At 37.8% G+C, this 13763-nt stretch overlaps 1 protein-coding gene across 6 annotated transcripts in view; it reads right to left on the reverse strand.

Moving 5' to 3' along the window:
• The window catches only part of OXCT1 (3-oxoacid CoA-transferase 1), a 140361-nt gene that overhangs the window by 118938 nt on the left and 7660 nt on the right, over nt 1–13763 (reverse strand). For 5 of the 6 annotated variants that reach the window (NR_157114.2, NM_001364301.2, NM_001364302.2 and 2 more), the window contains exons 2-5: nt 13640–13748; nt 12312–12402; nt 4417–4552; nt 1028–1177 (exon numbers count right to left, since the gene is read on the reverse strand). Coding sequence is in view for 5 of the 6 variants with exons in the window: in NM_001364301.2 (NP_001351230.1) it covers nt 1028–1177; nt 4417–4552; nt 12312–12402; nt 13640–13748 (486 nt within the window). In the remaining variant the exon portion in view is untranslated. Of the gene's footprint in view, nt 1–1027; nt 1178–2688; nt 2710–4416; nt 4553–12311; nt 12403–13639; nt 13749–13763 lie in introns of all 6 variants that reach the window. The other variant, NM_001364299.2, reaches the window with a different exon arrangement.

The following is a 13763-nucleotide window of genomic DNA, read 5'->3' on the forward strand; positions in this document are numbered from 1 at the left end:
CAAAATGGGAGAAAATTTTCGCAACCTACTCTTCGGACAAAGGGCTAATATCCAGAATCTAAAAAACACATTAATAAAAGCTTTGAATCCACATAGATCACTCTCAACAGAAAGATGTCTCCAGATGGAAGATGCAGCTGGAGATCAACAGTGAACATCAAAGGACATATTCAGTGACCTCCAATCTTCCCTCTGATCGTTCCTAGGAATGGGAGGGGCACAGCCAGCATCCCCATATGCAGAAAAGTGATAAGAGATCCCCTGATTTACTACGTTCACTTCCCCAGAGATGACTACAGCATTTCTGCAACCTGTGTTAACTTTCTTCGGCCATTTGGACAGGAAAATGGAAAGATACTAAAAAATACCGTAATGAAATACTGGCCAGTGTAATTTTTGAAATTTTCTCCAACCTGAGCATCTCAAATACCTTTATCTGAAATTCTACTCTTCTATAATATGCCTAGGATAGATGTACCCCATCCTACTCAGCATTTTAAATAGAAGTAGGTTATTCCATCAAAAGCTCAAATGTGTCCAAGATACAAAATAAATAGTGACCATATGAACTCTCTATTCTATCATAACAGTTCCTTTCAAGGTTTCAGACAAACATATTATTTCCTTGTTTTTTCTTCCTACAGTCACTTTAGGAAGGGCCTGAGCATAAAGAGTTTGCTAGCATGCATACCACAACTACTTTATTTTCCATATAAGCATAATCAGCAAGTATAACTGTTTCTCAATTTGTTAAAGCCTACCATAAAATCAGTTCAAGTAACTAACCTTGACTAGTACACCATATGTGGATTACACCATTTTTTCCTTCTTTTTATTGTAGTTTCTCTACGTGATTTTAAATGCTAGTGGATGCCCAGATTTAGCTAGAAATTTCACCTATTTATGAAAATGAATGAGTGCTTTTTCTCACATAGAGGTGATTTTATACTTATTTGCCCAATGATCCACCCAAAATCCCACGTGGAAAGAGGGATCCTGGTATAATCTGGTTAAGAGTGTTTCTTACCTCTCTTGGCTTACTGGCAATGGCAACACTGCCATCTTTGTTGTATTTGATGGGCGATCCTCCTTCTTGTACCAGGGTCCCATACCCTGTTGGGGTGTAAAATGCAGGAACTCCAGCCCCGCCTGCACGGATCCTCTCTGCAAGTGTGCCCTGCAAGTGAGCAACCAACACCCCATAAGTTCACTAAGCACACTTCTCTATGTGGACACAAACATTTAGACGTGGTTCCTACTATCTAGAGGCTTATAATTCTAAAAAGTAGCTAGCATTGTACATTAGCATACTTCACTAATATTGTATGCTAGAAGATCAATTTTAAGAAGTTACTGCCCCTCTAGAACCATTCTAAATCCACATTCAAAATGTAACCGCTTATTTGTATAGTCATGCATTGAGCTTCCATACCTCTCAATGATCTCTTGACACATTTAAATGTGTCTATTTTTGATATTCTAAGTCAATTTTAAAATCTGAATTATGAAACTTTAGTTATATATATTAAGTAATGCAGTTAAATTTTGTTTTATTTCATGATCTATGTTGGTATGGCCTAAATTTTATTCAAGTTAATAATGTAAAGTGTTTAAATTTTAGAGCTTATTTTAAACCATTTTCATAAATATTTTTATCTACAAATCGTCTAAGAAAAAAAACAAAGTGAAAAATACAGCATACTGGTAAATTGGTTTTTAAAAGCCAAGAGTACATCAAATTGTTTCAGAGTAGAAACAGCTGCAAGCAAAGTTACTTTGTATCTTCTTTTGATCATCATCTTTCCGATGGGTGACTCTTCTTCCTAGGTACCAGTGATTTCAAGACTAGTTTCCCTGGCTCTCTCACTCTCAACTGTTTTTCTACCCAGGTTTTCCCTAAGGAATCAACTCTGGCCCTGAACCTTGACACCCTTCCTAACCTTGACGCCTACTGTGATAGACTTGTTACAACAGTCTTACTAGAAAACTGACTGGCTAGTCAGTAGTTAAAAATTGGGGCTGGACACCATGGCTCATGCCTGTAAATCCCAGTGCTTTGGGAGGTGAAGGATCACTTGAGGCCAGGAGTTTGAGTCCAGCCTGGGCAACATAATGAGATCTGCCTCTTTAAGAAAAAAAAGAATTGGTTCATGGTATTAATGATGATGTGTTCATATTGTCCCAACCTTAAAAAGTATTTTCTACTTTAACAGGACTCTAAGTATTCAACTCAAAAAAGAAACTAACAGTTGGGACTTGAGACATTGAGTCATTCAAGTAGGTGGAATATTCTGGGGAAACAGAGACTTGGGGTATAACTGAAAATCTTCCAGATAACTGATTATCTAGCCAACGGAAAGAGATGACTCTACCTTGTGTTGTGAAGTTAGTAACATTTACAAAAAATTAAATCATCAAAATTACCATAACACTACCCCTTGCCTTAAAATATGTTTTATATATACCCTCCCTGAATACTCTCCTTCTATCATACCAGGTAAGGGCCTGAAAGTGGACTATTTCTGCAGATAGGCCTTCTGTAGGTGCCACCAGCTCCTTACCCTCACCCACCAAAGAACTCCTGATCCCCACCATCGATACTCCTCCCCCTAGCCTTCAGGCTGCAAAATAAGCTGCCAGAGCCAGTGTTTACTAACGGGCCACTAAGTTGGGGAAGGAGACACTGACCTCTCTTAGCCTGAGGAAAAACTGTAAAAAAAAAAATGATATATTAATGATGTACGTACTTTCTGACGAAATAAGGAGTAACATAAAAGATACCAAGGGTAATCAAAAGGTTAATTTTCAATAGTTCCACAACCCAAAGAATACTGTATCTTAACCTACCATGTGAAAAATACTGCTATGGACCGAACTGTGTTCTCCCCAAAATTCATATGTTGAATTCCTAGTCACCAGTGTGACTGTATTGAGATAGGGCCTATAAGGAGGTCATCAAGGTTGAAGGAAGTCAAAAAGGTTGGGCCCTGATCTGGTATGATTAGTGTTCCTACAAGAAGAGACACCCAGAGAGTGAGCATGCATGCTCTCCGCCATGCAAGAACCGTGAGAAGTCGGCCATCTGCAAGCCAAGGAGGACTTCCAAGCCTTCAGAACTGTGAGAAACTTCTGTTGTTTAAGCCACCAGTCTGTGATATTTTGTTATAGCAGCCTGAGCAGACTAAGACATCTTTGTTTTTTTTGTTTTTGTTTTTTCAAAAAACTGAGAAAATTGAGTAAATACCAAGCCCAGTGCAATGCTATGGTATGTACAGGTAACGGTGCTATAGAGTGACCAGGTGTGACTGCAACACGAGCCTCAGAATAGTTCCCATGTGTGCTTTCTAGACAAACACACCATGATTTCATTACTAATTTTTAAAAATCTACTAAATTATGTTATTACCAACTTGGCAAAGTCAGTAGCAATATTTTCTGTTGACTAAAATAAAGCGGAGTGGCTCAGTTCAAGAGCTGAGAGCAGAGCATGTCAAAATGAAAGAAGAGCAAACTGTAGACCCTCATTTTACTTAAAGATTTCAGAAAGTTTTCCTTTCTTTATGAATAACTCCAATTAGTTAAGAGATGACATAGAAAATGAGTGAAAAGTTGCTAGATTAATTATAGTAACTGCTTGCTTTGTAGTAACATCAGTTCCCTGGGAATCTAGGTTCTGATCCCAGCACTTACTCAGATATAGTCACATGCACCTTTCAAGGGCTTCACTCTGAAGTGTCTCAGCAAGACCAGATCACCCATAAATTTCTAGTTCTAAAATTCATAGAAATTGGAGAGGCATGGTGGCTTACACCTGTGAGGCCAAGGCAGGCGGCTCATTTGAGGTCAGGAGTTCGAGACCAGCCTGGCCAACATGGTGAAATCCCGTCTCTACTAAAAATACAGAAAACAAAAGTAGCTGGGCGTGGTGGCACATGCCTGTAATCTCAAATCTCAGCTTCTCAGGAGGCCGAGGCAGGAGAATTGCTTGAACTCGGGAGGTGGAGTTTGCAGTGAGCCGAGATCACACCGCCGCACTCCACCCTGGGTGACACAGTAAGACTCTGCCTCAAAAAAAAAAATAAAAATAAATTCCTATAAATTAACTTTTTAGGATGATTCTCAAACATTCCAGCAAATCCTTTTGTATGCTTCTGGCACAATACACATTACAGTGCCAAACTTAAAATCTTATCTTGCAGCCTGGATATCTTTTAGAAATATCTCTTTTTTCAGTACACAGTAGAAGAAAATATTAATCCTCCAGCAATCAACAGGTGTGAGTTAGAAACAAAATTCCCTGGTTTGGCAAAGTACTATTCCTTCTGCCTTACCTCTTTTGCACAAAGAAATTTCCACGGAGAAAAAAGGAATTTTTAAAGTAAGTTAGTATTATAAAAGAAAAGCAAATTTTCTCACCTGTGGTGTCAGCTCCACTTCTAATTCACCAGATAAGTACTGTCGTTCAAATTCTGCATTTTCTCCCACATATGAAGAGACCATGCGTTTTATCTGCTTGGACCGAAGCAAAAGCCCCAAACCAAAATTGTCAACCCTAGAAGGAAAATGAAGGGAGCTTACCAAAGAGCATCTGACAGAACACTATTACATCTTTTTAAAGAGATAAAACTTTGTTAATTTAAAGAAAAATAAATCCTTTCTTATAGGCATTTGATCCACATTCTTAGTCTCCCATAACCCCAAAACTTTTGCAAGGTAGCTATCCTTTTATTTTACAGTTGAGGAAACTAAAAGTCAAGAAGTTTAAGTTATTTTTTTGTGGGAGCGGGGCATGCACAGGGCAAGGTCTTGGGCAGTAAGGGACATACAGCCAATATTCACACCCATGTCAACCCTACAGTTTTACCCCGCACCTTTTGTTATTTTCACGGCTGCAGAGTGATTCTGAGTTAGAAGATAAGCAAAGAGATGAATTGGTTCTTGTCCTATGCTTTGAAGGAACACATAAATGCAGTGACAATATACTGACCCAAAATGAAGATTTGGATGGAGAAGCTCTTTCACTTCTAAAAAGGAGAGAGGGGCATTCTGGTATTTAAAAGAGAGATTAACATGCTCATTGAAATGTGGACCCAAATTATAAATAGCTATGAACATTTTCCCTATATCATAAATCTTTTGCTCAAGAAGATTTACACATTCTTAACAAAAACAAGCAAAAAAAAAATTAATCACAAGCCAGTGAAGAGTGTTAAGTGGAAACAATAATCCTGTATCTGTTAAATTATATATACTATAGTTTAATATCTTTATTATTTTAAAGCTGGCGCTCAATTTATTCTTAGAAATGGTATACACAGTGTTGACTTTATTTTTTCATTGGGTGAAGGTCTCCAGGTTTATGCCTTTCTTTATTTCTATTATTTTTCAAAGCAAAATATGCCTAGAATTTAAAGCAAAGTCAATGTAACAAGATAGATAACTGAATGAATTATTTTTCCATTTCAGTCACCTTAAAGACTGAAGATCATCTTCCATTCAAGAGTCAGAAATATTTTAACCAACTAGAGAAATAAAACATTTCTAAGATAAGAATACTTGACCTTAAGCTTTTTTTAATGGTGAAATTTTTTAATGACAAAATTTTTTTTTAATGGTGAAATATTTTTAATGGCGAAATATCTTTTAATGGCGAAATATTTTTTAATGGTGAAATTGTTTTAATGGGGAAGTATTTTTCGTAGCAAAACACTTTTAATGGCAAAAAGTATGATGAGACACCACCACAAACATGAAGGGATGGCTAAAAAAGAAAAAAATACCAAGTCTCGACAAAGATGTGAAACAATCAGAACTCTCATATGTGCCAAGGGGAATTTAAACTGAAATGACCACCTTGGAAAAACTGTTAGTACCTACTAATGTTCAATATATCCATATGCTATGGGTCAGCAATTCCATTCTGGGTCTATAACCAACAGAAATGCATACTTAGGTTCATCACAAGACATGTGCAAGAAAATTCATAGCAGCACTGTTCATTATGGCCAAAATTGGAGCCTCCCAAATGCTCATCAGCAAAATAGATAATTGTGGCATACTACATAATGAAGTGGGGTATAGCAGTGAGAATGACTCATCTATAACCATCAGTAACAATGGTTGAATCTCACAGAATAATGTTGAGCTAAAGCCAGACACAAGATTATACTCTGAAATATTCCTTTAATATGATGTTCAAAATCAGACAAAACAAATCTATGAGAATCAAAAGTAAGGCTAACGATTAATATTGGTAGTGGGAGAAGAGAACAGCGACTGGAAGGAGCAGGAAGAGGGCTTCCTGGGGTACTGGTCATGTTCCATTTATCTATCTGGGCATTGATGACATGGGTGTGCAGCTTGTAAAACTCCATCAAACTGTATTTATGAGATGTTCACTTTTCTATATTACTCCATACTATGCTTCAAGAAAGCCTTTTAAGAGACAGAAATGTAGTGATAAGGACCAGAGTGCTTCCTAGAAACAGAAGTTTTTATTTACAATCTCTCCCTCCTAATTCCTTTAGTGCTCTGATGGTTCCTTCCCTACAGAGCTTGTGTCATCTACACAGTTCATTCATCTGAAACTCCGTTACTGAGTGCTTATTCTACCACAGGTTTGTTAATTCATCTAAAACTCCCTTACTGAGTGCTTATTCTATCCCTGTGTCAGGCTCTGGAGCTACAATCATGAATAAGACCTGGTCCTGGGCAGCTTTGAAACTGAGAAAATAAACACGTAACCTATAATTACAACAGAGGGAGAGACATGCTAAGGGAATTAGGCACAAATTGTGATAATTCTGAAAATGGAGAACCCAACTTTTGGGGAGGAGAAAGATAGCAGAAAAAATCTTACAGGAGGTGGCACTTACACAGACATAGGAAAAAAGAAAACATCTCGAGAACAGTGTGTGGGGTGGAGGTGTAGAGAAAAACAGACAGATAGACAGCTTTGCAAAGATGCACTCAGGAAACTACATGTTCAGTGTTCCTGGAGTATGGACTGAGGGCAACAGCATGTGGGAGGGGAGAAGGCAGGACCAGTTGTGATCAGCCTTGTGGGATTTCATCCTGAAAGACAGGAAGTCCCTGTAAAAAGTTTTAAGCGGAAATATAACAGTATGATTAGCTGGAAAGCTTGAAAGATGAAAGGCCGGGATATCAATGAAGAGGCTCGAAGTAGTCCAAACAACCAACAGTGAGAGTCTGAGCAGTGGGAATGGGAATGGAGAAGGGAGAAATCAAGAGGGTCTTTGGGGGAAATAATTCATAAGACTTGTTGCCCATCCTGATGAAGCTGCAGACCCACTCCAGAATTCTGGCTTTGGTGATGGAATATAAAGAAAGTTGGTTGGGGGAAATTAACAAGCACTAGTGACGCCTACTTACTTGATCTGGAAAGGTGTTAAGTATGTGACAAACCACTGACATTTCTCCTGATGCCACCTGTTCTCCCAACTTCATTCCACTCTCCACTCTCATACTCCTCACACCGACAAGTGACCACTCCAGCTCAGCTGATTCCTTCCCAATTCTCAGAATTTCATTTCCAAACCTCTTTCCTACCCCCGGCACTCCTGACACAATGAACACTTCAAAGTGTCTAGGTAACAGGTAACTGTCAACCTCCTACTCAACGTGTTTTGCACCCCTAGCCTTCAAATGCTGAATCTGATAAGATTTCCCATCCACCATGGGTAGAAAAGAAATAGCTGCATGACTTACTCTCACTTGGTTCAAAAGAAAACTAATGCCTAAGTAACATAAGCATTTTCAAGAGTGTACTTTTGAGCTAGAATGCCCGGCAAGTTAAGAATACATTTGTCCACTAGAGGTCACCAGAGGCCTAAGGATTCCGTTGTTCAAGGGCTGTCTTCCCATTACTCTCAATGCACACAATGCCTTCTGAGTTTTTAACCTACTCCTAGTACCTGGCTAGGTCCCCACAATTCTATTCCCCCAAATTCAACTCCACTGCAGCCTTCCCATCTCACCTCATGGCAGGCTCACCTTACAGATCCTCAGCCCAAAACTAACGCAGCGATCTTTGACTTCTCTCACAAACTCCACATTGAATCTATCAGGAAATCCTGATTCCCCCTTCAAAGCCTATTCAAAATCTGGCCATTTCTCACTCTCTCCTTGGTACTCTGCACTATCTTGCCAGGGTACTGCAAACCCTCCCTGCTTCCCCTCCCACACAACATGGCAGCCAAAGCAAGCCATATAAAATGTAAGTCAGAACATATCACTGCTCTTGCTCACACCCTTGTGATGGTACTTTCATTCAGAGTAAAATTAAAGGTCTCCGGAGTGGCCTGCAAGGTCCCATGTGATCAGTTGCCCTTTGATGTCCCCAACCTCACTCCACCCATTCTCCTTTTGGCTCACTTCTCTTCCTCTCCTGGCCTCACCATCCCTCCAACATCTGGACCTCAGATGGCTGCCCTGTAGACTAAATTGAGGGGTCCCCTTGCCCTCTGGCTTCTGATTGGGTTCAGCCACTCTGACCGGGTTCACCCAATGGGAGGCACCATCAAGAGGATGTGGGTGAGGGGAAAATGTTGGGATTTATATTCCTCTGGCTCTCTCCCTGAGAAGTTACAGCCTATTGGATAACCCCCTCCATAAAGCTTTCTTCCAGGTCCTAGTAACAGCTCCCTGCCTTCACTCCTTCAGACCTGGGGCTGGTAACAGCACCCCTCCAATACAAATTCCAGTGTTCTTTATTACTCATTTTTCCCTCATCCCTGACCATTCCACTGAAAAGGCTCCCTTTGGTAAACTCCTCAACCACTCAGAAAATTCAATTACGTTTGATATCATCTACAGCCCAGACTAATAAAGTTGTAATAAAATAATTCATGAAGGTAGATATGATCCATTTTACTTTCTGTAGTTTAAAATATCTGAAACTCCTACAGGCCCATAGTAAAGCCAGAATATAGTTGGACACTGATTGACTTGGGAATTTTTCTAACTACTGTCTTCTGGATCTCTTTGGCTTTTCAACCCATTACCCATTTTAAGTTGGCTCTATTTGGAGATCACATCTCTTTATTCATTTGTTAGCTCTGAGAATCATTGTTTATATGGGCTTTGCTTTGTTTTTAGACTAGTATCCTGGCATAGCAATCAAGCAGTGCATAAGACGCTAGCCCCAGGTGCACTACCTGACCAGTTCTTCAGGTCTTGAAAATGCTGTCAGCTTACAATGAGAGTGTTTCTTGCCACATACTTTACAACCCAAATTTGGCAAGTGTATATCTTACCTATTATCAGACATTGATGATAAAAAATTAGTAAGACAAGTCCCTTACCTATAAAGGCTTACAAGATAAAGAAAAATAGATGTGATCTTTTGCAAATGGGGAACATATCATTTCTAATAGAGACATGTATATTAAACCATCTTATAGCTCTTTAATACTAAAGACAATGCTGATAAGACCTTCAAAAAGATGGGTGCTTTCCTTTAGTAGCCAACATTTTTTAGCATACTAAAGAGAGATGTGATCTTTTTCCTGCATCATAACAAACCTGGGTTTCAAACATTTTGGTGACTAGAAAAAGTCTAAGGCCAAGAATTCATTAATGAGACACATTATTATAAAGCAAAAAGATACCGCATCAGAGACAATGTTCTGGAAATATTTCCATGCTCTGAATCTGAAATTTAATTTGCTGATTTTCTGAAATCTCATTAATTGGCAATTCTTGTCAAAATAAGATAAACAAAAATAAAGTTGGGATCACTTACCAAGTTGTATTTCTTTTGTTTACTTTTCATTTTAGACATACTTAAATCTGGATTAGATAATTATATTTAATATATCAAGAGTACCAAAAACAAAATGCTTCATTTAAATATAAGGCTAATTTATGACATACAGTAATTTCCCCATCCCCCACCCAATCTGCAGTTTCATTTTCTATGTGGTTTCAATTACCCAGTCAACTGCAGTCCACAAATATTAAATGGAAAATTCCAGACATATAAAATTCATAAGTTTTAAGTTTTGCACCATTCTGAGTAACGAGATGAGCTATCATCATCCTACTCCATCCTGCCCGGGGTGTGAATCCTCCCTTTGTCCAGCACATCTACACTGTATATACTACTCTCCTGTTCTTCACTTAGTAGCCATGATGGTGATCAGATAGATTGCTGCAGTCTTTGCTGTGCTTGTGTTCAAGTAGTCCTTATCTTACTTAATAATGGCCCCAAAACACAAGAGTAGTGGTGCAGGCAACTTGGATATGCCAGAAAGAGGTCATAAAGTGCTTCCTTTAAGTGAAAGATCTAAGTAAGAATGAATCTTTTATCCATTAAATTTCAAAGAAAGAGAAAAATATCTGCTAGTTTTGCTGTCATATCTCAAACTGCAAAAGTTATAGCCACAGAGCATAATAAGAGCTTAGTTAAGATGGAAAAGACATTAAATTTGTGGGTGGAAGACAAACAGAAATACATTCCCATTGACAGCAATTGGGTTGAGTATTAGCCATGATTTCAGAACACAGGCCCCTCGAATAAGGGAGGACTTCTGTAGTTACATGAGACAAATGAAATCTTTCATGAGCTGAGCACAGAAGTTCAAGTATACATCCCAGGAATTGGTTAGCCCTTCCCAGACAAAATAACTAAATCCTAGGGAATGTCCATAATCAGCTCATGGCCTACATCTGATTATTAACTCCTTCAGAGCTGCAGCTTCCTCAACAAAGAACAAGGGCACAGCAGAGGGGTCACTGCCTTTATCTTGAGGTTCAAAGTCATTGGTACACAACCAGACATTTTAGAGTGATAGACTGACCATTGGGCTCTCAAAAAACTATTATACCTGACTAGTATAGTAATATATATATATATATATATATGTAATATATATATATATATATACACACACACACACACAAGTAATTATAGGTGTAGGTACATATGTATAATCAGATTTCTCAGCCTTTGTCATAACAGCATCTATTCTGCATCAAGAATTTTATATTGATCTGTAGTATCCCTTATAAGCATAAAGCTATCTGGAAAACTGAAAGTGCTGATAATCAAAAGTATGTATAATCAAGTCAAATTAAAGGGCATAAGATATGTTTAAGAGTTATCGAGTTGTCTTAAACAAGTTACTTCTCTATTTTCAGACGATCTGAAAAGTCAGTTAAACAAGGGACAGATGATTTCTACAATCCCATTCCCCTCCAACACACAGTAACTCTGAGACTCAGACTTACAGGCTCAGGACAGTAGGGAATACATAACTACTGTAAATAAAGGAGATTGGTAATGTAATATACATATATATCAAAGATAAGTAAAATTCAGCACACAAAGAAAGGCTAAAAGTCTCTAAAGGAACTCAAAAAGGGGCAAGATCAATAAAGACTAGAAAAGTTTCTATAATTGGATAAGGATACTTTGAGGATATACAACTTAAGTCTAATCCTGAGAGATGTGGATAGACAGGAAAGAGGAGGGACAGTCTCCCAGAAGGAAACAGACTCAGAAAAGGAAAAATGGGCACAAAAAAGTAGCATCAGTTTTACTTCCCAAATAACCTACACTATTTATTCTAAACTGCTTTTATAATTGGCTAAAATGCCAATTGGGTGATTAAAAATGTAAAATCCTTAAAGTCTTTAATTGTTGAGAGCTGATGACTTACCATTTTGTAAAAATAAAAATATGGCTTTTCCTAACATAGCTAAATGTACCTTAATGTGCATGCTATTATTAAAATGATGGCTTATTTCTGACCACTATAATATGCAATCCTATTATCTTAAGTGCTGGCTGCATATCCACCTTCCAAGACCAGCCATGTTTTTGTGATTAATGGTATCCCTTTATTTATGATCTAGAATGATGGCATTGCTAAAAGAAAGGGCTTTAAACAGATTTCAAATTGATGCCCACCTTGCTTTATAAATGATCTAATAAATAACATAAAACAATACATTTAAATTTTAAAATGCAAGACTTAATTTGAAGATATATATTCTAACTTCAATACATTTTAAGTTTAGAAAAATAAAAGCACATCACATTAAGATATAAAGTCTTAATTTATATCTTTATACTAGATGAAGCAAGTCTGCTTTACTTATGAAGGATGGTACCAAAAACATTTGGATAAATGTAACCACCCCTCTTGACCTTGTTAAACACTAGATTTTGATGCTTGGACATATTGCTCATGTGAATAGGAGAAAACTTCATTTCATTGATAAACTCTGTTTAAATATTAAGAATTGGCATTTCTCTCCAGCCAATTGTTTTTAAAATGCACACTTACCCTGCATTGTTGCTGACTGCAGTTAGTCCTTTTACTCCAGTTTTCAGTAAAGCATCTATAAGATTCTCTGGAATTCCACATAGCCCAAAACCTATATTAAGCCCAAAAAATAAACAATTTGTAAAGGGGGTAACAATGTTCTTTCAGAGAAGTGTGTGTTATTCTTTTTAAAAGGGAAATAAAACAAAGCACATTATTAGATCTACTAAGCAAAATACACAGATATATCTCAGCAGCTAAGTAAATGGTCATATAGCTGTATCCAAATGTTTTGCACCATTATATCACATATCACTGCCCAGTCTTTGAACCACAAGTATAAGCCAAGTGCAACCAGTTTATATGGCTACTCATTCCTCAGTTTGCACTTAACTATATATCTATTGTTTTCCTGCTTTGTAAATCAGTTTTTCTACAACTTTTTCAAGAATGTTAATATGTCTGAGTAGATTTTGCATAGTTGGAAGCCTAAGCCCAAAACTGTCATTTCTTTATATTTTCCATGATTACTCAAATTGTATTGGGTTTAAAATGAACATTCAATGACTTACTTGAATGAGTGGAGATCAATGCTAAAAATAATCCTTGACATTATTTATCAGAAGCAGGCAGCAAGTTGGGTGTGGGTGGCTCACGCCTGTAATCCCAGCGCTTTGGGAGGCCAAGGTGGGCAGATGACTAGAGGTCAGGAGTTTGAAACCAGACTGGCCAACATGGTGAAACCCCATCTCTACTAAAAATACAAAAATTAGCCAGGAGTGATGGTGGGTGCCTGTAATCCCAGCTACTCGGGAGGCTAAGGCAGGAGAATGGCTTGAACCCGAGAGGCAGAGGTTGCAGTAAACTGAGATCGCACCACTGCACTCCAGCCTGGGTGACAAAGTGAAACTCCCTCGAGAGTCCAAACAAGAAGCAGCAATAGAATTGGCAGTGGGGGAGGTCAATACATGTCTACGGGGTCTCTGAAGGTGTAAGCTTATGAGATTAATGCAAACATTTTAAGTTAAAAAATTGGGATCTAGGGATTTTTTTCAAAGCTATTAATAAAACCTGACTACTTTGAAGCTTCAGTTTTTCAAAACAGAAACACACAAATACACATACACACACACATGCACGCACACAGAGAAAGTAAAATATTAAGTGCTAAACCTTGCTAAACTTTTAGGAAGGAGACACTAATAAAATAGATGATATTATAATATGTACAATAAATAATGCATAATAAAATAATTATCATTTTTATACATCTTTGTCATTGTGATTTGCCTGCTTCATTTAAAAACATAAGGACATTACCATAACATGAAAACAGTGTTAGTACTCACCACCAACCAAAACCGTGGCACCATCAGGGATGTCTTTTACAGCTTCTACTGGATCTGTATAAAACTTGGTATGGCGATGAGCACTGGTGGAAAAGGAACAAACACATCCCTGAAATATTAAAAA

Source organism: Homo sapiens, chromosome 5, assembly GCF_000001405.40.
Source record: "Homo sapiens chromosome 5, GRCh38.p14 Primary Assembly".
Classification (NCBI taxonomy): Eukaryota; Metazoa; Chordata; class Mammalia; order Primates; family Hominidae; genus Homo; species Homo sapiens.